The sequence below is a fragment of the Homo sapiens genome, chromosome 2, assembly GCF_000001405.40.
Source record: "Homo sapiens chromosome 2, GRCh38.p14 Primary Assembly".
NCBI lineage: Eukaryota > Metazoa > Chordata > Mammalia > Primates > Hominidae > Homo > Homo sapiens.
The window spans coordinates 10,776,179-10,802,178 of record NC_000002.12 but is presented as its reverse complement, the minus strand read 5'-3'; the positions used below and the strand labels follow the sequence as shown (position 1 = coordinate 10,802,178).

General features: G+C 45.9%; 2 protein-coding genes across 20 annotated transcripts in view; one reads left to right on the top strand and one right to left on the bottom strand.

Annotated features, from left to right (window-relative positions):
* PDIA6 (protein disulfide isomerase family A member 6) overlaps window positions 1-18,788 on the top strand; it is a 54,322-nt gene extending 35,534 nt beyond the window's left edge. For 5 of the 6 annotated variants that reach the window (NM_001282705.2, NM_001282706.2, NM_001282704.2 and 2 more), the window contains 11 exons: window positions 4,422-4,479; window positions 4,972-5,098; window positions 8,977-9,083; window positions 10,254-10,384; window positions 11,346-11,460; window positions 12,290-12,430; window positions 13,198-13,282; window positions 13,410-13,482; window positions 14,740-14,898; window positions 17,149-17,245; window positions 17,853-18,788. In NM_001282705.2, the coding sequence (NP_001269634.1) occupies window positions 4,422-4,479; window positions 4,972-5,098; window positions 8,977-9,083; window positions 10,254-10,384; window positions 11,346-11,460; window positions 12,290-12,430; window positions 13,198-13,282; window positions 13,410-13,482; window positions 14,740-14,898; window positions 17,149-17,245; window positions 17,853-17,921 (1,162 nt within the window). In that variant the 3' untranslated portion in view covers window positions 17,922-18,788. The remainder of the gene's footprint in view (window positions 1-4,421; window positions 4,480-4,971; window positions 5,099-8,976; window positions 9,084-10,253; window positions 10,385-11,345; window positions 11,461-12,289; window positions 12,431-13,197; window positions 13,283-13,409; window positions 13,483-14,739; window positions 14,899-17,148; window positions 17,246-17,852) is intronic. The other variant, XM_011510308.2, reaches the window with a different exon arrangement.
* ATP6V1C2 (ATPase H+ transporting V1 subunit C2) overlaps window positions 17,069-26,000 on the bottom strand; it is a 64,168-nt gene continuing 55,236 nt past the window's right edge. For 6 of the 14 annotated variants that reach the window (XM_047443858.1, XM_047443857.1, XM_047443859.1 and 3 more), the window contains one exon: window positions 23,516-24,594. In XM_047443858.1, the coding sequence (XP_047299814.1) occupies window positions 23,995-24,594 (600 nt within the window). In that variant the 3' untranslated portion in view covers window positions 23,516-23,994. Of the gene's footprint in view, window positions 19,006-19,803; window positions 19,937-23,509; window positions 24,595-26,000 lie in introns of those variants that run through there. The other 8 variants (XM_017003745.3, NM_001410707.1, NM_001039362.2 and 5 more) reach the window with 3 other exon arrangements.

The window sequence follows — 26,000 nt, the reverse complement described above, 5'->3', positions numbered from 1 at the left end:
TGGTTTAATTTAAAAATTCTTTTCTTACCTTACATTCAATGCTGGAAGAACCCTTGTGGGGTAAAAATGTAATCACCATTGAAACTAACAGCACAAAATTATATACAGTCAAAAGTACAACATTGCACTAGTTATTTGTGTGATTAAAGCATTTAATGCAAAAAAACACCAAATAGAAGAGTGGAAACTGTGCAAGATGTATATGAGGCTGTCTCTGCTGTAAACCAGCAGGCCACAAGTATCCTGAGAGGAGAACCAAACCCTAGCCAGCTGTGTGTCTGTGAAGAACTGTGTGGTTATCTGAAATCCCAAGGAGTCCTTTGACATGTGAACAAGGCTTTGTAAGCTTAAGTGAGGGATATTAGAACCTGATGGGTACATTTTAGGGTATGCCTGATGAAACTTTTTCCTTTCTCACTTTAACTTTTTTCTTTGAAACTAAGTTTTAGAAACTAACCACCAGTCCTCATGGACCATTTTACTTCATGCTCAGTGTAGCAAATGGAGGTAAAAACGCTCTATTTTCAAAGTGGATGTTGCCACATTGTGCGTCCTGTCCATCTAATGCCTTTACTGTTTTAAAGGCTCTGGTATATATGTGTTCAGTCCAAATGCTAATTCTGTGTGGATTAGCTCAATTATACTAGCAAATACATAAATAGTAATTGTACAAACTGTTGTATTGTTAAACGTCTCTGTATGTGGTTTTTACAAGCTTATCATATATGGCATAGGTAATTTACCTTGTTTCTGAGAGCGACCATACAAGAGAAAACTCTGCAAGACAGCATAATTGAGAAGGCAGGATCTAGATCCACTAGTTAATCATTATTACACTGGCAGAGTTTTACTTTGTGGTGTTTGGGTGACTGAATGTCTGATTAGAGCAAGCGCTTTTTTTGAGAGACAGGGTCTCACTTTCTCCCAGGCTAGAGTGCAGCAGCATGATCACGGCTCACTACAGCCTTGATTTCTCAGGCTCAGGTAATCCTCCCACCTCAGCCTCCCCAGCACTGGTACTACAGGCATGTACCACCACGCCCTGCTAATTTTTGTATTTTTTATAGAGACGGAATTTCACCATGTTGTCCAAGCTGGTCTCTAACTCCAGGGCTCAAGCAATTCGCCTGTCTCGGCCTCGCAAAGTGCTGGGATTACAGCTGTGAGCCACTGCACTGGGTCAGGCAGGTGCTTTTTAACTTCCTTTTGTGCTTGGATTCCTTTAGCATCTTGGTGAAGGCCTTGGATTCTTATAATAAAACTTTTACGGTCAGGCATGATGGCTCACGATTATAATTTCAGCAATTTGGGAGACCACGGTGGGTAAATTGCTTGAGCACCAGAGTTCGAGGCCAGCTTGGGCAATGTGGCAAGACCCTATCGCTACGAAAATAAAAAGAAAAGAAACAAATTACCCAGACGTGGTGCCGTGTACTTGTGGTCCCAGCTACTCAGGAGGCTGAGGTGGGAAGATCACCTGAGCCTGTGAGGTAGAAGCTGCAGTGAGCTGTGATTGTGCCACTGCACTCCAGCCTGGGCAACAGTGAGAGCCTGTCTCAAAAAAAGAAAAAAAAAAAGATCTCCTTTAAAAAAAAAAATCAAAATCAAACCTTCACGTTTAAATAAAGCTTATAGAATCGCAAAAAAAAACCTAAAGTATGGAAATATGATTATTGAAATATTAAAATTTTGATGTTAATGTAGTACTTTACAAGAACAGTAAGTACAGGTTGAACATCTCTTATCTGAAATGCTTGGGACCAGAAGTGTTTCTGATTTTGGATTTTGTCAGATTTTGGAAGATTTGCATAATACTTAGCTGTAGAGCATCCGTAATCTGAGAATACAAAATCTGAAATGCTCCAGTGACTGTTTCCTGTGAGTGTCATGTTGTCGCTCAGAAAGTTTTGGATTTTGGAACATTTCAGGTTGTGGGTTTTTAGAATAGAGATGCTAAACCGGTACCAAGATCCAGCAGCAGGCTTGACAGCTGCAATAATTCTGAATAGTGATGGGCATAAATGATGTTTGAAGATACCTGCAGCAACTATAGTGGCGATCATGAAAACAGCTGTGATTTTCATTCATGATAAAGTCACAATAATTGACTGTGGAGTGTTGTTTACATTCGTAAGGAAATTCTAAATTTCGATTACAGATTAGTGAAAATAAAGACTTTTTTTTCATCCAAATTCATAGACTCCCTCCCCTAAATTTTTCCTAAAAGGCCACCTTGGCTTCAGATTTATTCTTTTTTTTTTTTTTTCTTTTTTTTCCTAAAAGGGATTCCCAAAATTTTTATCCACCAGCCCTTTGGGAGTCTGGACCCCAGTTGCAGAACCCCTGGGTAGACTGTATGCCATATTTATATGTATGTGGCATTATGATGTATGTGCAGATCAAATAGAAGAGAGGATGAACTCTGACAGTCTCTGAATTTAGTCCTCCTTTCTTAAACTGAAATTAAAGAGGCACAAAACCCTGTAAAAATCTGACTTCTGAATTTTTTAGTATCTCACCTAAACAACAAAACATACTGTATGTAAATATGTAGAAGTAGCATTTCAGGACATTCCCCCGATAGACCCTAACTTCAGATACTGGGATTGAGTTTAGGCCCCAATACTCAGTTACATAATAATTACGACTTCTACCTGTATGATTGTAGTGTTTGGAATCAAAAACTTGTCAGGCAGCTCTGACACTGGATGGCTGTGATATTGGGTAAATTTCTTCTCAACATCAATTCCATCATCTGTAAAATGAAATAACAAGAGGACCTGCCCTCAGCTTCATGCTGATTAAATGAAGTCATCTATAAGTGTTTTCATCATGGTGCTGGCACCTAGCATTTGTGCATTTGGTTCTTAGAGACCTAATTAGAAGAGAATTTACTTTGTTTTTAAAAATGCATTAAATCACCAATGGATAAACTATGGTGTCTGCATACAGTGAATGTTACACAGCAATAAAAATAAACAGTATAGCTACCTACAACCTCAATGAGTGGTAAGGGCTAATAGGTTTACGCACATGTAATTTTTTAAAAGCGCTTTTCTGTGTTGTATTTCCCAATAATAGTACCTGCAAGGTTAAGGTTGTTTTTCCTTGTGTTCTCTTCTCTCCTCCTCTCCCCACTCTCTTCCGCTTTCCCTGCCTCCCCCCACCTCAGTCATTCACTCACATCGCCATCTTGTGGTGTCACGTCATGCTTTTCGGCTTGTTAGGCTCACTAACGTGGGTTTATGCATGTGTTTCTAAGTCCAGAAGCAATTTGCGGGACCCAGAAAGTATTGAGATATAGGCATAGTTGATCTGGGCCAGATACTTCATATATAAAATTAAAAAGTTGGACTAGAGACTATCAAACCCCAGTAGGTTTAAGAATCACTAGCAGAACTTAATAAAATGCACTTCTTCCACTAGGAAGTTTGGGTTTGTGGACCCCAAGAATCTGCATCGTGCCTAGGCTTTCAGCTCCACACAGTGAAGCACATTGGACCAGATAGATTCTAAAGGGCTTGTTGAGGGTGTAGAGTTGTAAATTATAGAGTTTAAATGTGATTTAATTGAGCAGTAATTCGGAAGCTTTTTTTTTTTTTTTTGGGTGGGGGACAGAGTCTTGCTGTGTTGCCCGGGCTGGAGTGCAGTGGCACGATCTCAGCTCACTGCAACCTCCGTTTCCCGAGTTCAAGCGATTCCCCTCCCTCAGCCTCCCCAATAGCTAAGATTACAGGTGTGTGCCACCATGCCCAGCTAATTTTTGTATTTTTAGTAGAGACAGGGTGTCACCATGTTGGCCAGGCTGGTCTTAACTCCTGAGTTCAAGTGATCTGCCTGCCTTGGCCTCCCAAAGTCAGGCGTGAGCCACTGCACCTGGCTGGAAGCTTTTTTATTAGGATGATATGAAAAGTGATTGTTGTAAGTAATAAAATGGTGAGTTCATCCAGGTTGCTGATCCTATTTTACTTATTTATTTTTATTTTTATTTTTTGAGACAGAATCTCACTCTGTTGCCCAGGCTGGAGTGTAGCGGCATGATCTCAGCTCTTGCAACCTCTGCCTCCTGGGTTCACGTGATTCTTGTGCCTCAGCCTCCCCAGTAGCTAGGATTACAAGCGTGCACCACCACGCCTGGCTAATTTTTGTATTTTTATTAGAGACGGGGTTTCACCATGTTAGCCAGGCTGGTCTCAAACTCCTGACCTCAAGTGATCCTCCCTCCTCGGCCTCCCAAAGTACTGGAGATTACAGGCGTGAGACACCGTGCCCGGCCTTGATCCTGTTTTATTTGTGCTTGTCCTCTTTGCAGGCATCTCATTCAATAGACCATTGATGGGGTTTTTTAATTGAATTTTTGAATTTTTTGAATTGAGAATCAAAGGCTTTAATGGTTGCTTTGTGTTGTCTTCCCCCAAAAGGTGTGGTCACTGTCAAAGATTAACACCAGAATGGAAGAAAGCAGCAACTGCATTAAAAGTAAGTTTCTTAGGAATGCAAAAGGCTTACAAAACTTTTTTTTACAGTAAGTTTCTAAGATGTCCATATTCACCTGTGTATGTTTAAGTAATAAGTATGCAGATGGTTTAATGTTCAATGGGAAGCTAGTTTGCATATCAGAGTTGAAAATACTGGTTCTGTTGTCAAAATCATACTGAGAACAAGGGGATAATACACATTTAAATGTTTACATTGCCTGTTTTTGTTTATTGTTTTTCCCAGATAAATGACAGTTACTCTCAGCCCTGCCAATTCTGTGAGCTGCAGAGTTCCCTCCATGGGCTTTGATTTCCCCCATCATTCCATTTAGATTCTCTTCTGGTGTTCAAGGCTAAAGCCCTTATTGACTGATTGCAAACTGCACCCTGTGCTTTATTACCTTTTTCTGAGTCTATGTGAAGCAGATAATGAGTTCTTGTGGAGTCTGCTTTAGCGGAAGGAAAAATTGTTATTTCTTTTACATTTCCACAGGATGTTGTCAAAGTTGGTGCAGTTGATGCAGATAAGCATCATTCCCTAGGAGGTCAGTATGGTGTTCAGGGATTTCCTACCATTAAGATTTTTGGATCCAACAAAAACAGACCAGAAGATTACCAAGGTAAGGACTTTTCCTAGCTACTTCATTCCCCTGGTAGACAAGAACCTACTGTTCTTTAACAAGCTTGAGAACCTGCTCTACCTGCAAGGTTCTCAACCTCATTGTACCTGAATTATCTATAAATGGTACACAGTGATTCCTATACCCTCCGAGTCATTCTGAAGATGAAATATGTGTCACACAGGTTTGTCTCATCACTTAACGCTTGCTTAGGTCTATGCTACATTGGCAATGATAGAAAATAGTGTTCTGTGCTACCCTGTTGTCTTTCTCATTACAGTCACTTGTATTTAATAAAGATCTACATGTATTTTCTTGCTCTAATCTCTCTTCCCTTTACTGTAGGAAAAGGGTCTAACATAACACTATGGAAAAGGAGACTGTAATTTGAGAGTCTTAGTCTCCTAAACTGTCAATAATAAATGGATACCACAAATTCTGTTTTGTAGATAAGTAAATTGTTAGTGTCTGCTGTGAGCCACTGAGGCAACTAAAGAAAGAATTCAGGTTTCACCCTCCCAAGACTAAATGTTATTTCAGCCACACTATTCTTTTTTTCTTTTCTTTTTTTTTTTTTTTTAAGAGACAGAGTCTTGCTGTGTTGCCCAGCCTGGACTCAAATTCCTAGGCTCAGGCAGTCCTCCTACTTCAGCCTCCCAAGTAGCTGGGATTACAGGCACCACACTCTTAGAGAATTGTCTTGTTATTTAATTAAGATATCACAAACGGGCTGGGCATGATGGCTCATGCCTGTAATCCCAGCACTTTGGGAGGCCAAGACGGGCGGATCACGAGGTCAGGAGATCGAGACCATCCTGGCTAACACGGTGAAACCCTGTCTCTACTAAAAATACAAAAAATTAGCCGGGCACGGTGGTGGGTGACTGTAGTCCCAGCTACTCTGGAGGCTGAGGCAGGAGAATGGCGTGAACCCGGAAGGCGGAGCTTGCAGTGAGCCGAGATTGTACTCCAGCCTAGGCGACAGAGCGAGACTCCGTCTCAAAAAAAAAAAAAAAAAAAGATATCACAAACAGATTATTCTATTTAAGATAATCAGAGTTGCTGGGTTGGGCCAGATCCATAGTGCTAGTAAAAGTATTGGGCATAATTTGTTTGAAGCTGAAATTATGACTAATTTGGTAAAGGTTTTTGTTGAAGATTTATATGGAACATATGAGTGACTGAACTTTGTCATCTTAGGTTTTGCTTTATGTGAGCAGTATCAGCTCATGGGTTGGGTGGCAGCATCAACATCGTAGTAAAAGAGTTGTCTGTCATCGGTGACTTGCCTGAGTCCAGCTAATAGAAGGCAGGGAAGGTAGGGGTGAGGGGTACAGAATCTGTCGTGTGTGAGCTGGGAAGGCAGCCCATCCTGGCTGCCTGGCTGCTAGCCTCTCCATACTCCAGCGTCGTAACTAAACAGTACTTAGTGTCTTGCTTCTCTGTATAATGGGGATGTGCAAACCTATTTTAAGGTACCAGAAGCTTAATTGAAATAGTACACATAAAGCATATGAGACAAATACTTGGCAAATATGTGTCGTTGGCAAATCTCGAGGCTGGAGGGCTCATCTTCGTCTTCGTCTTCGTCTGAAGATGAAGATGTGGCCTTGGACACGTTGTCTCTGCTAGGCTCCCCAGCTCCAAAGTTCTAGGGAGAGACTTTTTTTTCCCCTGAGTAAACACCTGCTTTTCTGCCTTTGAATAATAATTTGTTTTAGTTTTCCTCACTTATGAAAATGCACATGTTTTTAGTGCAGTCAGTCTGCTGCTGTTTTTATAAATTTAGTTTATTGGAACACAGCCCTGCCTGTTTGTCAACATATTGTCTCTGGCTCCTTTTGCACTGGAACAACAGAATTGAGTAGTTGCAATAGACAGTATGGCCCAAAACGCTGAAAAGTTTTTTTCCTAGTATACTTCATGATTTGGCATATGTCCAGATAAAGACTCGGGGAAGGGGCAGTGGTTCAGATGACGGAAATACCTGACATAGATAAGGAGCAGAGGCTGTTTCATGTTGAGGCCTTGCCCTTCTGTGTTATCAAGTGACATACTTGGTAGGCTCAGCCAGCGATACAGTGCAAGATTATCTGAATAGATGCTGAGAGTTGCTGTAATATATTTTGTGGGTATTTTTGTTTTGTTTTGTTCGAGATGGAGTCTCACTCTGTTGCCCAGGCTGGAGTGCAGTGGTGCTATCTCGGCTCACTGCAACCTCCGCCTCCTGGGTTCAAGCAATTCTCCTGCCTCAGCCTCCTGAGTAGCTGGGATTACAGACATGCACCACTACACCCGGCTAATTGTTGTATTTTTAGTAGAGATGGGGTTTCACCATGTTGGTCAGGCTGCTCTCGAACTCTTGACCTCATGATCCGCCTGCCTCGGCCTCCCAAAGTGCTGGGATTACAGGCGTGAGCCACCGCACCCGGCCTATATTTTGTTTCTTGTGTCAGGTCTGGTGTGTTCTCAAAAGTTTCTCTTCCTGGGCAGAAAAAAAGGCCGGCTGCCACACCTTAGATCTCTAATCCCAGCACTTTGGGAGGCTGAGGTGGGAGGATCACTTGAGTACAGGAGTTTGAGAAAACTCTAAAAAAAAAAAAAAAAAAAAAGAAAGATTTTTTTTTTTTTTCTTGACACAGAGTCTCGTTCTGTCACCCAGGCTGGAGTGCAGTGGCGCGATGTCAGCTCACTGCAGCCTCCGTCTCCTGGGTTCAGGTGATTCTCCTGCCTCAGCCTCCTGAGTAGCTGGGATTATAGATGTCCACCACCACGCCCAGCTAATTTTTGTGTTTTTAGTAGAGACAGGGTTTCACCATGTTGGGCAGGATGGTCTTGAACTCCTGACCTCAGGTGTTCCACGTGCCTCTGCCTCCCAAAGTGCTGAGATCCCAGGCGTGAGCCACCACAGCTGGCCAGAAAATGAACTTTCTAAAGAGATTCTATTAGATCTAGTTTTGCCTTTAAACTGAAGAAAGCAGATGGCATATGTTATTCCAGTACTTCTGTGTTAGTTAATAGCCCCTGACTGTCTTGAGCAAATAAGTTTTTGGTGAACTTCCAAAGACTATTATCATCTTGCCTCTTTGAGTTTTAATGCAGATTTGTTACTTATATTAGGATTAAGTTCAGCTTAACTGTTTCAAGCAAGATAGAAAAAAAGAAGCCTGGAATGGTTTCCAGTTACTTGGCTTTAAAGACACCTCATACCTACTTTTTCCATCTTTTCTATCTGGTATCTCACAGAAATTGTTCCTTTTTTATTTGGGAAATTCCCCTGCTTTCTCAGCTAGATATTAAGCTTCTTATTCATCCATGTTCATGTTCGGTAAACATTTGTGAGTTATTCTCATTAGGAGATGGTGTTTGAGCAGGGAGTTTTCGTTCACACTACGTAAAACTTAAGAAGAGAAATCGGGCTGGACACGGTGGCTCACACTTGTGATCCCAGCACTTTGAGAGGCTGAGGTGGGCGGATCACTTGAGGTCAGGAGTTTGTGACCAGCCTGGCCGACATGGTGAAATCCTGTCTCTACTAAAAATACAAAAATTAGCCAGAAATCACTCGAACCCGGGAGGCGGAGGTTGCAGTGACCTGAGATGGTGCCACTGTACTCCAGCCTGGGCAACAGGGTGAGACTCCATCTCAAAAAATAATAATAATAAATAAAAAAGGAAAAGGAATTGGTTTTCCAAGTGTTAAGTTTAGTGCAAAATGCATTGTGGGGAGAAAGTGTGTTCTGTCAGAGATACACGTGTCAGAACTGTGTCACACCTGGTGAAGCCGACAGTGAGGTAAAGACACAGTCTTGGGCCGGGCCAGATGAGGCACTTGCTGAAGGCCGGGCTGAGGACCGCCTACCTTCCGTCTCCTGTAGGTGGCAGAACTGGTGAAGCCATTGTAGATGCTGCGCTGAGTGCTCTGCGCCAGCTCGTGAAGGATCGCCTCGGGGGACGGAGCGGAGGATACAGTTCTGGAAAACAAGTAAGACCATAAAATGTCAGTTTTTAATGTGTCATAATTTTGAAGCCAGAGTGGATACCTTGTATAAGATAGTTGTTTTTTAACAGTATGTTAAAGTGGTGAACTCTCAATTAAAGAATAATAGAGGATTGGATCCACCGATCCCAGAGGGAACCAGCCCTCCAGCCTGCTCATTTGGCCTCCTCAGAATTGCTGTTGCCAAAGCCAGTCAGTCCCAGGGCCTCTTGCCACACCTGCAGTCCAAGTACCAGGCCCAGGAGCCACGTGCTGGCATCCCATGGCACTTGTAGGTCCAGAGTGGGGATGGGATGGACGGGTTTTCCTCTAGGTAGGCTTTGGCAAACCGTGATGAGATTGGATTACCTCTTGGCCTGTATCTGTGGCAGTCAGCCCCAAATCCATGGAAAATTCTACACAAATGGATAGGGAAGAAGAGAGAGAGAGAGGAGCAGATTGGTGTTTTAGATGCCCTTATGTGAAATGTGAAGCTTACACTGATGTTCTTGTGAAAAGACAAACTTGAAGATCTATCAATATTAAATGGGCTTTTACTTTTAGGAGACCAGTTACACTAGCTTCTTTATACAGGCTCAGAGCTTACCCAGAGATTTCATGCTCTTGCCTTTTATTTTAAACTTAGACATTTAATGAGCATAGTTGCCTGGCCCCCTGCACCCTGCCTGGCAACAGAAAGCAATGCTGACTGCTTCTTAGATTTAGTACTGAAGAACATTCTTCGAAAAAAGAAAAGGATTAAGTGTTATTTTTAGCTCTGTTGACTGGTAGGGACTTTGTCTATGAAAGATGTAACATAACATCCTAGGATGAAGCAGCAGCTGTACTTGAGTCTGAATTAGAACAGTGTTGTTCAGGTGGTTTTTTGAGCCATGTTGAGGTTTCTCTCTAAAAATAGCTGGTGACAGCATTCAGGTACAGGTTATGTGTTGTACTGAATGTATTGATAATTACTTGAAAGTAAAAGACTATTTGCCAAGCAAAAATTACAGTGCTGAGGAATGTACCCAATTTGAATACAACCGTTTTCACTATTTTATTCACTAAAGAAAAACCCTAAAACTTTGTTAAGATGTAGCAGTAGTGTTATTATTTAAAACAGGAAAAGTGTTCTTCTTGGCCCAATTGTTTGATGTTTAATGTCATAAATGACAGGGCAGAAGTGATAGTTCAAGTAAGAAGGATGTGATTGAGCTGACAGACGACAGCTTTGATAAGAATGTTCTGGACAGTGAAGATGTTTGGATGGTTGAGTTCTATGCTCCTTGGTGTGGACACTGCAAAAAGTAAGTGCCTTCTACTAAGTAGTCTGTTCATTCACAGTGTTTTCAGTACATTCATTAGCTTATTTTGAAAGAGCTGAAGTAGATAATAGATCACCACTAAGATCTCTTCCAGCAAAACTCTGACTCTAAGTGAATATTAAACATTGACATTAGCGCCAAGAGCTTCCACTCTCCTATTGCCAAAGATTAACAAGGGACTGGCTCATGTCTGGATTTAGGGGCAGTGGTGGAATGGGAAGCTCATGTGAAGGGTAGCATTGTATCTTTAGTAAAGCCACACACAAAATGTTTTCTAGGTGTGACATAATTGGGGATTGGGCAGAAATGCACAGATCAGTTAAAAAGTATAGGCTAGGCATGGTGGCTCACACCTGTAATCCTAGCTCTTTGGGAGGCCGAGGCAGGCGGATCACTTGAGGTCAGGACTTTGAGACCAGCCTGGGCAACATAGCAAAACCCCATGTCTACTAAAAATACAAAAAAATTGGCTGGGTGTGGTGGCGTGTGCCTGTAGTCCCAGCTACTTGGGAGGTTGAGGTGCAAGAATCTCTTGATTGTGGGAGGCAGAGGCTACAGTGAGCCAAGCTCACACCACTGCGCTCCATCCTGGATAATAGAAGGAGACTCTGTCTTAAAAAAAAAAAGAAAAGAAAAGAAAGGTGTTTGGGCTGCAAGTTAAAATGCAAGTATTTGGCCTGGTGAGGTGGATCACTTGAGGCCAGGAGTTTGAGACCAGCCTGGGCAACATGGGGAAACCCTATCTCTACTAAAAATGTAGAAATTAACAGTGGGTGGTGGCACACACCTGTAGTCCCAGCTATGTTGGAGGCTGAAATGAGATCACCTGAGCCCAGGAGATTGAGGCTGCAGGGAGCCATGATTGCACCACTGCACTCCAGCCTGGGCAACAGAGAGAGACTGTGTCTCAAAGAAACAAAACAAAACGAATATTTTTCTATAGCCTAGAGCCAGAGTGGGCTGCCGCAGCTTCAGAAGTAAAAGAGCAGACGAAAGGAAAAGTGAAACTGGCAGCTGTGGATGCTACAGTCAATCAGGTTCTGGCCTCCCGATACGGGGTGAGTATACTTATAAGGCTCATTTCATTGTGAAATACATGGTGTTTCGTTACTTCTTCCAATACTCCAGGCCTCCCTATGAGGTAGTAAAGGAGATGTTTAAACCATTTTGTAAGTGAAGAGATAAAGTCACTTTATTGTCATAACTAACAAGTCTGAAACTCAGGACTGTCAACTTTTCCCCCTAATGTCACACTGCTTCTGGTATATACTTAATGTGAGGTTTCAGCTTGCCCAGACTTATTCAAGTTGCTCATATGGCTGTTGTGAGTTGGTCCATTTGTTCTAGGGCAGGTACTTTGTGTTAATTATATACCAGGGCTTGAATATGATTGGCTAAACTTCACAGACTGTTAAAACTCCCTGATTGATAATTGACCTCTGTGAGTCATTCCTTTGAAATCTGTGCAGTCTGGAGAACAGTTTTGTTACATTAAATTACCTATAAGGCCAGAGTGGTGGCTCACACCTGTAATCCCAACACTTTGGGAGGCCAAGGATCACTTGAGGCCAGGATTTCAAAACCAGCCTGGCCAACATGGTGAAACCCCGTCTCTATTAAAAATACAAATATTAGCCGGGTGTGGTGGTGTGTGCCTGCAGTCCCAGCTACTCAGGAGGCTGAAGTAGGAGAATTGCTTGAACCCAGGAGGCAGAGGTTGCAGTGAGCTGAGATTGCACCTGTGCTCTCCAGCCTGGGCAACAGAGTGAGACTGCTTCAAAAAAAAAAAAAAAAAATTACCTATAAGGTGGTTTTAGAAACTGTAAAGATTGTGTTATTTTGCATTAAGTGTTAATTGGATTTTATCCTCTGACCTTTTTTTAATAGATTAGAGGATTTCCTACAATCAAGATATTTCAGAAAGGCGAGTCTCCTGTGGATTATGACGGTGGGCGGACAAGATCCGACATCGTGTCCCGGGCCCTTGATTTGTTTTCTGATAACGCCCCACCTCCTGAGCTGCTTGAGGTAAACCACTTCAACTGCTTGTAGTCCAGAAAGCTTTTTTAGCTGATGGTGAGGAATGTTAAAGCAGTGTGACACACTGTTCATTTTATGCCCTTAAAGATACTCTCTTTAAAGTGGTTTCTATACTTTGAAATGGAAAAAAAGTCTGATAAATTGCTTTTCATAACTTTTAGCATTAGAATAATTACACTGAACAGAAATACGAGCTTCTTAAAGATAGAGTGTATTCAATCACTCTTGCTTATCATTCTCAAAGTAATAGAACATTTATCAAGTACTAATCATGTAACAGGCACCGTTCTGGTGTCTTTGTATAGTTTTGTTTTGTTTTGTTTTGTTTTCATTTAATTCTCACATGAACACTGAGAGGTAGATACTGTTTTTAATCTCCATTTTATATATGGGGAAATTGAGGCACAGAGCCTCAAGTGTGTATAAACATATAAGACATATAATACATGTAAGTATAATCTATTTAAACAAGTAAGTGGCAGAGCCAGGCTGTGTCCAGGCATTGCGATTTCAGAGATGTTTGTATGTGTGCTAATCACCCCACCTCCACCACCACAGCTTCCACAGGCTTAAGAATCAGTAGCAGAAAAATCTCCTCTTAGAGAACATGCCTCCAGGTGTTTCCATACGAGGAAGTAGTCGTGGGAGAAATGTTTTCAATGAAAGTGACGGTGCGAAGGTCTTGTTTGCCAGCTTACCTTTAGGTGTTGTATCATGCAGCCTCCTGATTGTCCCTTGTCTTTTGGGTCCCACAGATTATCAACGAGGACATTGCCAAGAGGACGTGTGAGGAGCACCAGCTCTGTGTTGTGGCTGTGCTGCCCCATATCCTTGATACTGGTAAGACAGACGGAAATGATTTCCCTTAGCTGTTCTATGCTAGATGCTCTGAGAATACTTTCTAAATGGATTAATTTTATGGACTCCTTTATCTTTACCTTTAAAAAACTTTGTCTATTTAAATCAGGAGCTGCAGGCAGAAATTCTTATCTGGAAGTTCTTCTGAAGTTGGCAGACAAATACAAAAAGAAAATGTGGGGGTAAGTTACTGAGCTTACTGTCTGAGTGTCATCTGAACAGCTGATTATAGGCTTTCTTGAGAGTGGTTCCCCCGTGTTTTTGTAAGCTGTGTTCTATGTTTGCTCTGCTATATGTTTTTTTTTTTTTTCCCTCCTGCCTCAGCCTCCCAAGTAGCTGGGATTATAGGCGCCCGCCACCACACCCAGCTAATTTTTGTATTTTTAGTAGGGTCAGGGTTTCACCATGTTGTCTAGGCTGGTCTCAAAACTCCTGACCTCAAGTGATCCACCTGCCTCCACCTCCCAAAGTCCTGGGATTACAGGTGTAAGCCACCGCACCCGGCCTGCTCTGCTATATGTTTTTATTCAGGATGTGAAAACTTTATCATGGGAGGAAAAGAAGGAATGAAGGGCTGTCAGCACAGCATGCATTTTTCTCATAGGAATCATGTTTTACATGGTGATTGGAGTGCCAGGTTAGCAGGCAGACACATAAGGAGTAGTGCACCTGAATTCTACTGTGAACTTGAAGGCTGGGTGAGAAAGGGGAAATAGAATTGTTTCCTTCTCCTCTTCTGAGTTAAGGACTGGATCTAGGCACATTTTCAAAACAGTGTATCTCTTTCCTATTTTATCCTTTTTTTTTTTTTTTGAGACAGAGTCTCACTCTCTTGCCCAGGGTGGAGTGCAGTGGCACAATCTCGGCTTACTGCAACCTCCGCCTCCCGGGTTCAAAAGATCCTCCTGCCTTAGCCTCCTGCGTAGCTGGGACTACAGGCGCACGCCACCATGCCCGGCTAATTTTTGTGATTTTAGTAGAGATGGGGTTTGCACCATATTGGTCAGGCTGGTCTCGAACTCCTGACCTCAGGTGATCCACCTATCTTGGCCTCCCAAAGTGCTGGGATCACAGGCGTGAGCCACCGTGCCCAGCCTCCTTCCTATTTATCTTTTTGCTTCTTGTCCTCAGTATCCATTGCTTTCCCCAGGTACCTAGCGCCCCCTGTTGTCCCTCTCTCGATGACCTTGCTCCTCCTCCATTAGTCCAGCAAATGTTTATTAGATGCCTACAGAACGCGAGAACATGCTTAATAACCCAAATGATATTGGTGGGATTTCAGGTAAAAAGGGAAAATCCATATAGAAACTCATCTTTTGTTTTTATTTGTCATTCTACGAAATATCTGAAGCGTGATCTTTTGTTCTCTAAGATCTTCTAGTTAGATCGTAAGCAATTTAAAAGACATATTTGCCCTAAAAACCAGTCTGGTTTTCTAGGTGGCTGTGGACAGAAGCTGGAGCCCAGTCTGAACTTGAGACCGCGTTGGGGATTGGAGGGTTTGGGTACCCCGCCATGGCCGCCATCAATGCACGCAAGATGAAATTTGCTCTGCTAAAAGGCTCCTTCAGTGAGCAAGGCATCAACGAGTTTCTCAGGTAATTTGTTTTCTTAGGTTGTTTGTTGTTTTGTCTGTTTGTTTGGTTCTGTTGTAGGTTTATATTTGGAACTAGGTATATATAAGCCAGGTAATAAATGGAATTTAAAATGCAAACTAATTCCAGAGAATTGAATGTTTATACATTAGAGTTTTTAAATTGTCTCCCTGTTCGTTCTTTTTTCCATGGAATACTCTGCTTGCGGGATGAGGAGAAAGCATTGCTACCCTCGGGCCGCCCTGTGTGCCATTCTGTGCATCTGGCCCTGGGCTCTTTCTCATTCTCATAAAGGTCTCATATGGGCTAGAGGCAGCCCTGTCTGTCCATCCTCACCCTCATATGCATTGTAATCTTGACCTTGGGGAAATGTGGTTTCCATTTCTGGGCACTTGGCTTTGGAATGTAGTTATTTATTTGAAAATGGGCGTACTTAAGTTACTCCAACAATGTGCAAACAACATGATAGGTTCTAAAACCAATATACAGAGCTGTCTACTCTGCTCTGCTATTCAGCTCACCTAATCATCTTTTAGGCAATACAGGGCATTGACCTAAAGAGGTTTTATTTCCCATTCTTGCTTTCTTCCGCGTTCATTTCTTAGCTGCTGTATAAGAGATGTTCAGCACACAAAAGGTAGTTGAGAGGCTTGTGTTGAATAATGAATAGGAAGAACAGTACATGAAAGCCTGCAGTGCTCTTGCTGCCAGTCTTCCTACTTGACACAGAAGTTTGTGTGCTGTGTGGAGACGTGTGTGTGTGCTGTGTGGAGAGTAGGGGCTCCAAAGTCAGGTGCCTCAGTCACAGCTCTGCCTTGAGTAGTGAAGTGGGAGGCATGGAGGAAGCCCTGTGAGATCAGCTGCTTCAGCCTCTGCCGGCGGGGGGCAGACTGTGGCTCCTTCCCTCCCAGCTCTCTCTCATTGTAGTTGGTTAATATGGTTAATGGGTGTTTTCTTTCCCCCCCACCCCCGAGACAGAGTCTTGCTGTGTCGTCCGGGCTGGCACGATCTCGGCTCACTGCAACCTCCACCTCCCGGGTTCAAGTGATTCTCCTGCCTCAGCCTCCTGAGTAGCTGGGATTACAGGCGCCTGCCACCACGCCCAGCTAATTTTTGTATTTTTAGTAGAGATGGGTTTTCACCAGGTTGGCCAGGCGGGTCTCAAACCCCTGACCTCAAGTGATCCACCCACCTCAGCCTCCCAAAATGCTGGGATTACAGGTGTGAGCCACCACGCCTGGCCAAGGGGGTGTTTTCATTAAGTTTGTGGGGCTGGGTGCGGTGGCTCACGCCTGTAATTCCAACACTTTGGGAGTCTGAGGCAGGCGGATCACTTGAGGCCAGGAGTTCGAGACCAGGCTGGCCACCACGGTGAGACCTTATGTCTACTAAAAATACAAAAAATAGGCCAGGTGTGGTGTTGTAGGCCTGCAGTCCTAGCTACTAGGGAGGCTGAGGCACACCCAGGAGGTGGACGTTGCAGTGAGCTGAGATCACACCACTGCACTCCAGCCTGGGCAAAAGAGTGTGACTTGGTCTCAAAGAAAAAGAAGTTTGTGGACTGCTTAAGTTTGTGATTGTCATAGAGTAGTATTTATTAAATCATGAAGTCAGAATGTGAATATATCTCCTGTAATTTTTTTTTCTAATAATAGGTTTGCTTATTCTAGCCCATTGGTGCCATAGATTGTTAGTCTAGCTCTATTATTCTATGAGTTGTTTGGTGAACTCTAAATATTTGTGCCCACAGTATTTCTGGCTCTGGTTTCCCAACAGCCAGATTACACCAGGTCTGGTATGTTTCAAGTACTGATGTTTATGCACATACGCACCCCGCTCTCTGCCAGCGCACTGGAACCAGTCGCCTCACTTCTGATATGCTCCCTCTGTACAGGTTCACAGCAGTCTTAGAAAGCTCGCAGGCAGCCCATGTTCTAGATCAACTTTGATAATTATTTATGTATTTAATTTGTATTTCAGCAAATGCTCTGCTATTTTTAAAAGCTTACTGATAGCAACTGACTTTATCTGATGCAGGGGGCTTAGTTGGGAATGTTGAATCTGGTTGTAATGTTGTCCGTGATTAAAAAGATAATGTCCTCAAGGTGTTTCTGAGGAATGTAGTGCAGCAAGAGAGAAGAAATGCCTCTGCATAAACAAAGTAGGCAGACTGTTATTTTTAAAGTTGTTTATTCTTCTGCACCAGCAGTCCATTGTAAATGTGTGTGTGTGTTTTGGTCATTTTTCCCTAAGGGAGCTCTCTTTTGGGCGTGGCTCCACGGCACCTGTAGGAGGCGGGGCTTTCCCTACCATCGTTGAGAGAGAGCCTTGGGACGGCAGGGATGGCGAGGTGAGTGCCCGGGAGGGAAGCTGTGCGGGCAGCAGTCCTGGTTTACTCTCTTGAGCCTGTGCATCTCTGCACCTGGAGTCAAGTCCTTCCCATCAGACCTCAGCCCTGGTGCACCCGTGGGCCTTTTAAGAGGTTCTTCTCTGAAGACCCTTCATCTTCCTTATCACAAGTTTAAGTGCTGCATGGCATTTGATACTCTTGACAGCCAAGATACATTTCAGTAGTAAGGTTGCTTTCCTGATTATTACCTTAAAGTGAACATTTAACCTGGAATTCATTTACTTTATCTTAGAAAAATAGAAAATGATAGCTTTGAAATTAGCACTTATTTCTGTACTGTTGTGTCCCACCCTCCTCAAAAGGACACGTTCAAGTGGCTTCCAGTGTTAAAATGGTGAGTGATGTGATGTTGAAATGTTTCACCTGAGTTCTGAGCTTTTCCATCCGTATAATCATAGGTACGAAGGTCAGGGTAGGAGTCAGACTGAGGAGAACCTGGATTGTAGCAGGAGTAGCTCCAGAGAGTCGCTCTTCCATAAAATGAGATGTTGACCTTCCAGGGTGTCCCCTTCTGCAGATCTAACAGTGGCTTTCTGTCGTCTCCCAGCTTCCCGTGGAGGATGACATTGACCTCAGTGATGTGGAGCTTGATGACTTAGGGAAAGATGAGTTGTGAGAGCCACAACAGAGGCTTCAGACCATTTTCTTTTCTTGGGAGCCAGTGGATTTTTCCAGCAGTGAAGGGACATTCTCTACACTCAGATGACTCTACCAGTGGCCTTTTAACCAAGAAGTAGTACTTGATTGGTCATTTGAAAACACTGCAACAGTGAACTTTTGCATCTCAAGAAAACATTGAAAAATTCTATGAATTGTTGTAGCCGGTGAATTGAGTCGTATTCTGTCACATAATATTTTGAAGAAAACTTGGCTGTCGAAACATTTTTCTCTCTGACTGCTGCTTGAATGTTCTTGGAGGCTGTTTCTTATGTATGGGTTTTTTTTAATGTGATCCCTTCATTTGAATATTAATGGCTTTTTCCATTAAAGAATAAAATATTTTGGACAATGCCGATAAATGTATGAAGTTAGTATCCACATCATAAATTCAGAGTGATGTTTAGCAGTAAATCAATATTTTGAAGTGATACACAGATGTCTTTCCTCCCCACAAACTTTTTTAAACAAAAAACAAGACCTCTTTTCTTTAGATGGTGCCACCTATGCCCACCACAACAGAGATTTTACATGGAAACCGGGCTCAGTGAGAACTGATTTCCTGCCCAATATTTGTCTTTGGGCTGTCTCTAGTGACTAATTATTAAGGAATCTAGCTGGTTATACAGTTCAAGGCTTTCTATGTTGTTAATGAACCTCAAAATAGCCGTTAAGACATGAAATACAGCAGCAGGTTACCAATGCGAACAGGTAGTTCGCATTTATGTAAAACATTCAGAAAATGAAGTTTTGAATTTGTTGGAACATTCAAAGGACTTGAGAGCATTTTATTGTAACTTAAAAAAATAAATACAACTGTCACTAACTTTTGTGAGCAATTTCTCTGAAAAAGATCTTAGTTCTGTAAGACATTTGAACCATTCTCTGGCTAAAGGAAAGAGGTGTCTGTAATAATCTGCACGAACATGAGACAGAGGTGCCAGCTGGCCTTTCTAGTCAAGAAGACTAAGGTCAATATGGAAGTAGACATAAGGAAAATAGTCTTGGTTATTGAGTTGCAGTCCCGGGATCTCCACAGATGCCTACAAAAGAAGACATGGTAATGCTCTAAGTGCATAAACTAGTTTCCTGTCTTATCCTTTTAGTTTTGAGGAAGCTCGCCAGGCACTGAGCGTACGTTCTGCTCTGCGTAGCTGTGGTCCACCCCTCCAACCCTCTCCTTGCTGTGCTTTAATGTGTATGACATGTAGATTTTCATAACAGGCTGACAGATAGTTTTGCTTTGTTTTGTTTTTGAGACAGTTTCTGTCACCCAGGCTGGACTCAGCTCACTGCCTGCCTCAGACTCCCAAGTAGCTGGGATTACAGGCATGCACCACCACTCCTGGCAAATTTTTTTTTTTTTTTTTTTTTTTTTTTTTTTTTTGAGACAGAGTCTTGTTCTGTCGCCAGGCTGGAGTGTAGTGGCGTGATCTCAGCTCACTGCAACCTCCGCCTCCCAGGTTCAAGCGATTCTCCTGCCTCAACCTCCCAAGTAGCTGAGACTACAGGCACACACCACCATACCCAGCTAATTTTTGTATTTTTAGTAGAGACAGGGTTTCACCATGTTGGCCAGGTTGGTCTCCATCTCTTGACTTCGTGATCCACCCGCCTTGGCCTCCTGAAGTGCTGGGATTACAGGCGTGAGCCACTATGCCCAGCCCAATTTTTTTTTTAGTAGAGACAGGGTCTTACCATGTTGGCTAGGCTGGTCTCAAACCCTTGACCTCAAGTGATCCACCTACCTCCCAAAGTGTTGGGATTACAGGCAGATACCAGTTTTTTGAAAGTAAGATGCTGAGCTTACTGTAGAAATACTGCTGTTTCTGGATACCTACATCCAGTATACTTGTAGCGGCTACTTCATCCAGATGTCGGAAGACAGAGTTTAGAACCTCTCTTAAACGCTTGGTGGATGACTTCTTATGCGGCTGCAGGAGCACTGCCTGGAAGTTCACTGGTAGTCCATACCTTTTCAGATAGACAAAATGTGTCAGTTCACTGCTCCAAATGCAAACACGGATAGAAGGAACCTGACCAGAAACAGTACATTCCGAGGGTGAAAAGCTTCAACCAACACAGCTTCATAAAGTCAAACTCGAGCAAAATGCCTAGGGTCAGCGGTGATCTCTGGATAGAAAAAGCTCTAGAATTTGCTAACCCCCTTCTGATAGCTAGTTTTCAACTATAGAGCAAAAGAGGTCATCCCTCTGGCCATGAATGGCCATTCCACGGTGCATGCTCAAGTTGAATGCAGGTAGTTGGACTGAACATTCGGACTCCAAGGCGTTTGTCTAAAACCCAGCTCGGCCGTTTTTCTCCACTAAAGGAGAGGCAAAAATCTGGTTTATCAAGATTGTTACTATTTTCGCTGAGTTTTTGGGTAGATAGAAAACATTTTTAACATACCTAGTTGTATGCCTGAGCATGTTTAAAACCAGTTGTTGGGATGAGCTATTCCTGGGGTGTTAGCCCACACAAAATATAGCAAGTGCTGTAAATGGAAAACATTTTGTGATTGTTGATGTATTTTTATACTCTGAGGGAGCAAAGGATCGGATGTTCAGTAGTTAGCACCTATGTTCCCTCGGGATCCCCAGGCCTTGATGTGAAGTCTGTTTTTACACGCCCTTCCACTCACCTAGTACTCTGTGCAGACGGGGCTGCCATAAAGATAAGTCCTGGGAGCAGGACCTATTAATATTACTAAGGTTTTATTTATCTATTTTTTTTTTTGAGACAGAATCTCGCTCTGTCACGCAGGCTGGAGTGCAATGGTGCGATCTCGGCTCACTGCAGCCTCCACTTCCTGGGTTCAACCGATTCTCCTGCCTCAGCCTCCCAAGTAGCTGGGATTACAGGCGCCCGCCACCACCACGCCAGGCTAATTCCACCACAGTCATTACCAACTTGCACTGGAGGTTGTTTATTCATCTAGGACACGTCCTTAAAGCTTAAGGCGCTCCTCCCCCAGCAGCCTGGCTTGAGGGAGAGGCCTGCCTCTGTTGTGCTCGCTGTGGTGGGTGGTAGGCACCCTAGGTCCTTAAGGGACATACGCTCCAGCCCTTAACCTTTCCTCAGCCTCTGAGTTCTTCCGGCCCTGTCCTGTCTCTGTGGCACCCGTCCTGCTAATAATGCCTTCTCCATTCTGCCCAGAACAAGACACCATGCCGGGTGCAGTGGCTCACACCTGTAATCCCAGCACTTTGGGGGGCCAAGGCAGGCTGGATCACCTGAGGTCAGGAGTTCAAGACCAGCCTGGCCAACGTGGTGAAACCCCGTCGCTACTAAAATTACAAAAATTAGCTGGGCGTGGTGGTGCACGCCTGTAATCCCAGCTACTAGGGGAGGCTGAGGCAGGAGAATTGCTTGAACCTGGGAGGTGGAGGTCGCAGTGAGCTGAGATTGTGCCACTGCACTCCAGCCTAGGCGACAGCAAGAGTCCATCTCAAAAAAAAAAAAAAGGACCCCAGGAGCGGCTGGCCCATCGGTCTCAACCTCTTTCTTGGGCAGATGCGCATCCTGGAAGGCATGGACAGGCTTCACTGTGTTAGGCCGTTAGGCCTGAGAGCAACCGACTTCTGAGCCGGGCAGGGTTGATCTGGGGCCATGTATATTAGAGATGGCTAGAACACTCCCAGGAGCTGGGTACACCCTCCAACCCAATGCTGCCATCCGTGTCGGTACAGGCTTTTGAGATGGGCGTGCACAGGTGCGCATGGGTACAGGTGTGGGTGCGGTGCATGTGCAGGGCAGAAGAACCAGGAACCAAGGTCAGATCTGTATCTGGGCAGACCACACACTGACAGCCACATGGAAGGGGAATTGGAGGCCAAGAACAGAGAGGAGGCTTATGGCAACAGCCAGGCCGGTGGGGCCAGACCCGTGAAAGAGAGAGTGCAAAGGCGGAGTGGACCGGGCCTGTCAGGGGTGTCTAAACTGACCCTGAAGTTTGGGGTCTGATAAGGGGAAGGATGAGGAGGCCACTGGCAGAAACAGGGAAGCAGAGGAAGGGGTGCGGGAGGGGAGATGAGACAGATACCCAGGTAAAGCCTACGGCAGGCAGATGGCAGGACCTGGAAACCAGGGAACATGGGCAGGAAAACGAGGGAAAGTAGGGGACATCAGCCAGGGGGACGGCAGGGAGGGATGAGGAGCTCCTCAGTGCAGGCGGGGAAGGGGTCCGGAAGGTCACACAGAGGGTCTCAGGGGCTGGAGGAGCCCAGGAGGCCGCGAGTCAGAGCGGCAGGCGGTGCGCAGTGCTCCGTGACGCGGGACGCAGCCACACAGGGCAGAAAAGCGGCCTTCGAAGGCGTTTCCTCTGATTCCACTTTCATAAAAATCTGTAAGAATTACGTATCTATTCATAAAAAAACAACAAAACCTACACCTAAAAGGGCACCCACTGGGACGCTGGCAGTGTTCTCTCCTGGTGTTAAAATTAAAATTACAGGAGATTTTTACTCACTCTGCTTACCTAGAGTTGCCAGGTTTCCCACAGTGAAGTTTTTTTTTTTTTTTTTTTTCTATAGCCGGAGTTTCTCTTGTTGCCCAGGCTCGAGTGCAGTGACGCGATCTCGGCTCACTGCAACCTCCGGCTCCGAGGCTCAAGTGATCCTCCCACCTCAGCCTCCCAAGTAGCCAGTACTACAGGCCCATGCCACCACACCCGGCTAATTTTTGTATTTTTAGTAGAGGTGGGGTTTCACCATGTTGGCCAGGCTGGTCTCGACAGTCCATGACAAGGGCATATATATATATATATACATACATATATATATATATTTTTTTTTTTATTAGGCAAAGGCCGGGCATGGTGGCTCGCGCCTGTAATCCCAACATTTGGGAGGCCAAGGTGGGCGGATCATCTGAGGTTAGGAGGAGCTCAAGACCATCCTGACCAACATGGTGAAACCCCGCCTCTACTAAAAATATAAAAAAATTAGCCGGGCGTGGTGGCGGGCACCTGTCATCCCAGCTACTAGGGAGGCTGAGACAGGAGAATCTCTTGAACCTGAGAGGTGGAGGTTTCAGTGAGCCAGGAACATGCCATTGCACTCTAGCCTGGGCGACAAGAGTGAAACTCCATCTCAAATAAAAAAAAAAAAGGCAAAATAAGCTTTGTTGTTGTTGGTGTGGTTTTGGTTTTCTCTCTGGACTGCCTTGAGGGGTGCGGCTTCCAGGCTGAGGACGGAGGCAGCCCGAGAGCGCCTTCCAGGAGCCACTCGGGCCCTGCGGGCTTCACGAGGGTGGGGACAGGAGCCAGCCAGAGGGTCCACAAGGGCATGCAGGTAGGGCAGCTGGGGAGAACCCAGGTGACACTTGCCCCAAGTGTAGCAGGAACGGAGGGAGCAGACAGCAGGGGACACAGGGCTGAGGGGAGGGTGTACTTGACTCGGAATTGAGCGTGTTGCCAACAGCCACAGTCTCAGAAAGGAGACGGGTGGAGGATGGAGAGAAGGCAGGAGCTGGGGTGCCCCGATAGCTCCCCCAGACCCTGCCCATCCTCAGGACAGTCCCAGCCGGGGCATCACTGCCACGCACCTGAGCACGGACTCCACAAACACTCTCAGGGCCTTGATGTGGATCCAGGCAATGAAGGCTTCACTGAAGTTCACCTTGAGCCAGCGCAGCAGGGGGCCCTGCAAAGACAGAAGAGCCAGGTGACCCCTGCTGAACACCCCGCCTGACACAGAGCCAAGAAAGGACTTGGGTTTTGACAGAGCACGCCCTGAGCTGAGAAGAAGTGCCCAGGAGCCAGAAGCAGAGAGTCGGTCAGACCAGCCCTGGGTCAGGCTCAGGACCTCGAGGTCCAGGGCACCTGGTGCCGGGGAAGCTCAGCGGGCCAGCCACCCGGTGCATGCACGGGGCCACCACAGACCGCAGCGCGGGGAGCTGGGCAGCCCCTGACCTTGGGGCTTTCAGCAGGCAGCCAGGGGCTTCTGCCTGACACTGTGCAGCCAGGGAGCCCACCTTCTCAGAGGCTCTGCCCCCAGGGTCCTGGCATCATCCACAGCAGCCGCCTCCCCTCACAGCCCCACCTCACGTGGCCACAGCAGCAGCCACTGATGCCGGTGTGGCAGGTCTTCCTGGGAGCTCAAGAGTCTTGGAGCAAGAGCCCCGAGCTCCCGCCTGACACTGCAGCTGCCCACAAAGGTCAGGGGTGGGTTCAGCAAGGGCAGCCAAGGGAGGAGAGCTGAGCTGCCAACCACCACCCCAGCCAGGGCCCTGCCCGTCCCAGCTCCAGCCACCTCCAGCCAGGCGCCCGGGGAGAGGCGCCCTGGCCGACAAGCACCCTTCACTGCTGGCGGGGGCAGCTCCAAAGAGGCCCTGCAGATTAGGAGGAAGGCATGATTCCGGCTCCTCAAATTTAAGACCTCAAAAGCCATATTAGAGAACAGAAAAATGCAAGGATTCATTTTCCCAGAAGGCGCCTGAGCTGGCGAGGAGATGTGAGCCAGGGACCCCGGGGTTCCCGGGGCGTTGCTTACCTCACCCTCGCCCTCACTCTCTCTCTCTCTGTCGGTCTGCCCCGCAGCAGGCCTATCAGGGTTACCTAGCGGGGTTACCTTAACCTTGTGGTCCGGGAAGGTGGATGATCCCTTTTTAAGAGCAACACAGGAAGTTTGCTAAAGGCACAGAAATGATTTATTAATCTTTCAGCAAACATGCATCACAAACAAATAAATCATTCTCATCGCCTGAAAGGCACGCGAGAGCAAGCTCAGGAATTCAGGCCCACCCTCGGGACTCGCGTGCTGGCTAGACTAGAGATGTGGTAGGTGCCCACCGGGCTCCTGGAGTGGTGAAGGCAGAGAGAAGGGCAGTGTTAAGGTCTTTGGGTTCCATATTCCAAGCACAGAGCCGATCTCTGGCAGAGGGGTCAGCCCTGAGCTCCCTCCCCTTGCTTGGGCTCAGCCAGGACCCCCATCGCAGGCCGACCAGGACAGCACCGGGAGGCGTTAGTGGAAACGGCTCTCTGCGCTCTGTCAAGGTGGCTCCACCATGCCCAGCCACAGATGCCTTCCTGGCATTCGGGGGGCACCTCGGCATGCAGAGTGCAGGAGATGAGTTGGGCATGCAGTTAGGACACTCACCCTTTCCCATTCTGTCTCTGCAAACAGGTGGGAAACACAGGGACATCCCACTCTGCTCTCAAAGTACACTCAAACCCCAGGGCCTGGTCTGTCCCTCTGGTTGATGAGTGACAAAAAGGATGCAAGACGTTTGGTCATGCACTTCTAGATAGGCCAGAGGGGGCCAGATTCTCAGGAGGCCAGTGGGACTACCCAAGCTGAGAGTGCCTCCACCTCCCGCCCACAGAGAGACCCTGGCAGGGCCCCCAGGGTGGTGTGGGCGAAGGCTACGCCATGTAAAATACGCCAGCTGGCAACCTGAGCCCCACGTGGCAGGCGGCAGGCTCCTGTGTGTCACCCTGTTCCCCGGGGGTCTGGCAGGCCTGGGCCAGTGCCCAGGTGGGTGCCAAAGGCCCTGCTTCGCCACCTGTCCCCCAGCAGGGCCTCCCTGGTGTGGAGGCTGCCACGGTCTAGCCCCGTCCAGAGATACTGCGCAGGGGGTTGGGACCAGGACTGAATCGAGCTGGGAAAAAGCCTGGCTGAAGAGAACAGCCAGGGCGTGCCCAGGTAGCGAGGGTTTCAGGTGAGCTGAGCCTAAGGAAGAAAACACTTTGGAGCTCAGCTTTCACTGGGGAAAATCTTTCCTGCCTGGTGTCTGGGTCTGTGGGCCCTGCTCTGAAGACTGGAGCATCCAAAGGGCTGGGGGTCCCCAGCTCCAGCTCGGCTCCTCGTCCTCAGGAGGCGACACCCTCCCCGCAGGCTCAGCCGGAGCCCAGCAGCGTCTGGCTCTGAGGTGTGTCTCACTTGCTGTGCACACACAGGTCCACACACACACTCATACATGCACGTGCGCGCGCACACACACACACACGTGTGTGAGCGCCCTGTGCTATTTCGGAGGAGGAGGGTGAAAAACCCCCTATATAAACTTGTATATTATCAGCTGTTGTTTCCTCCCT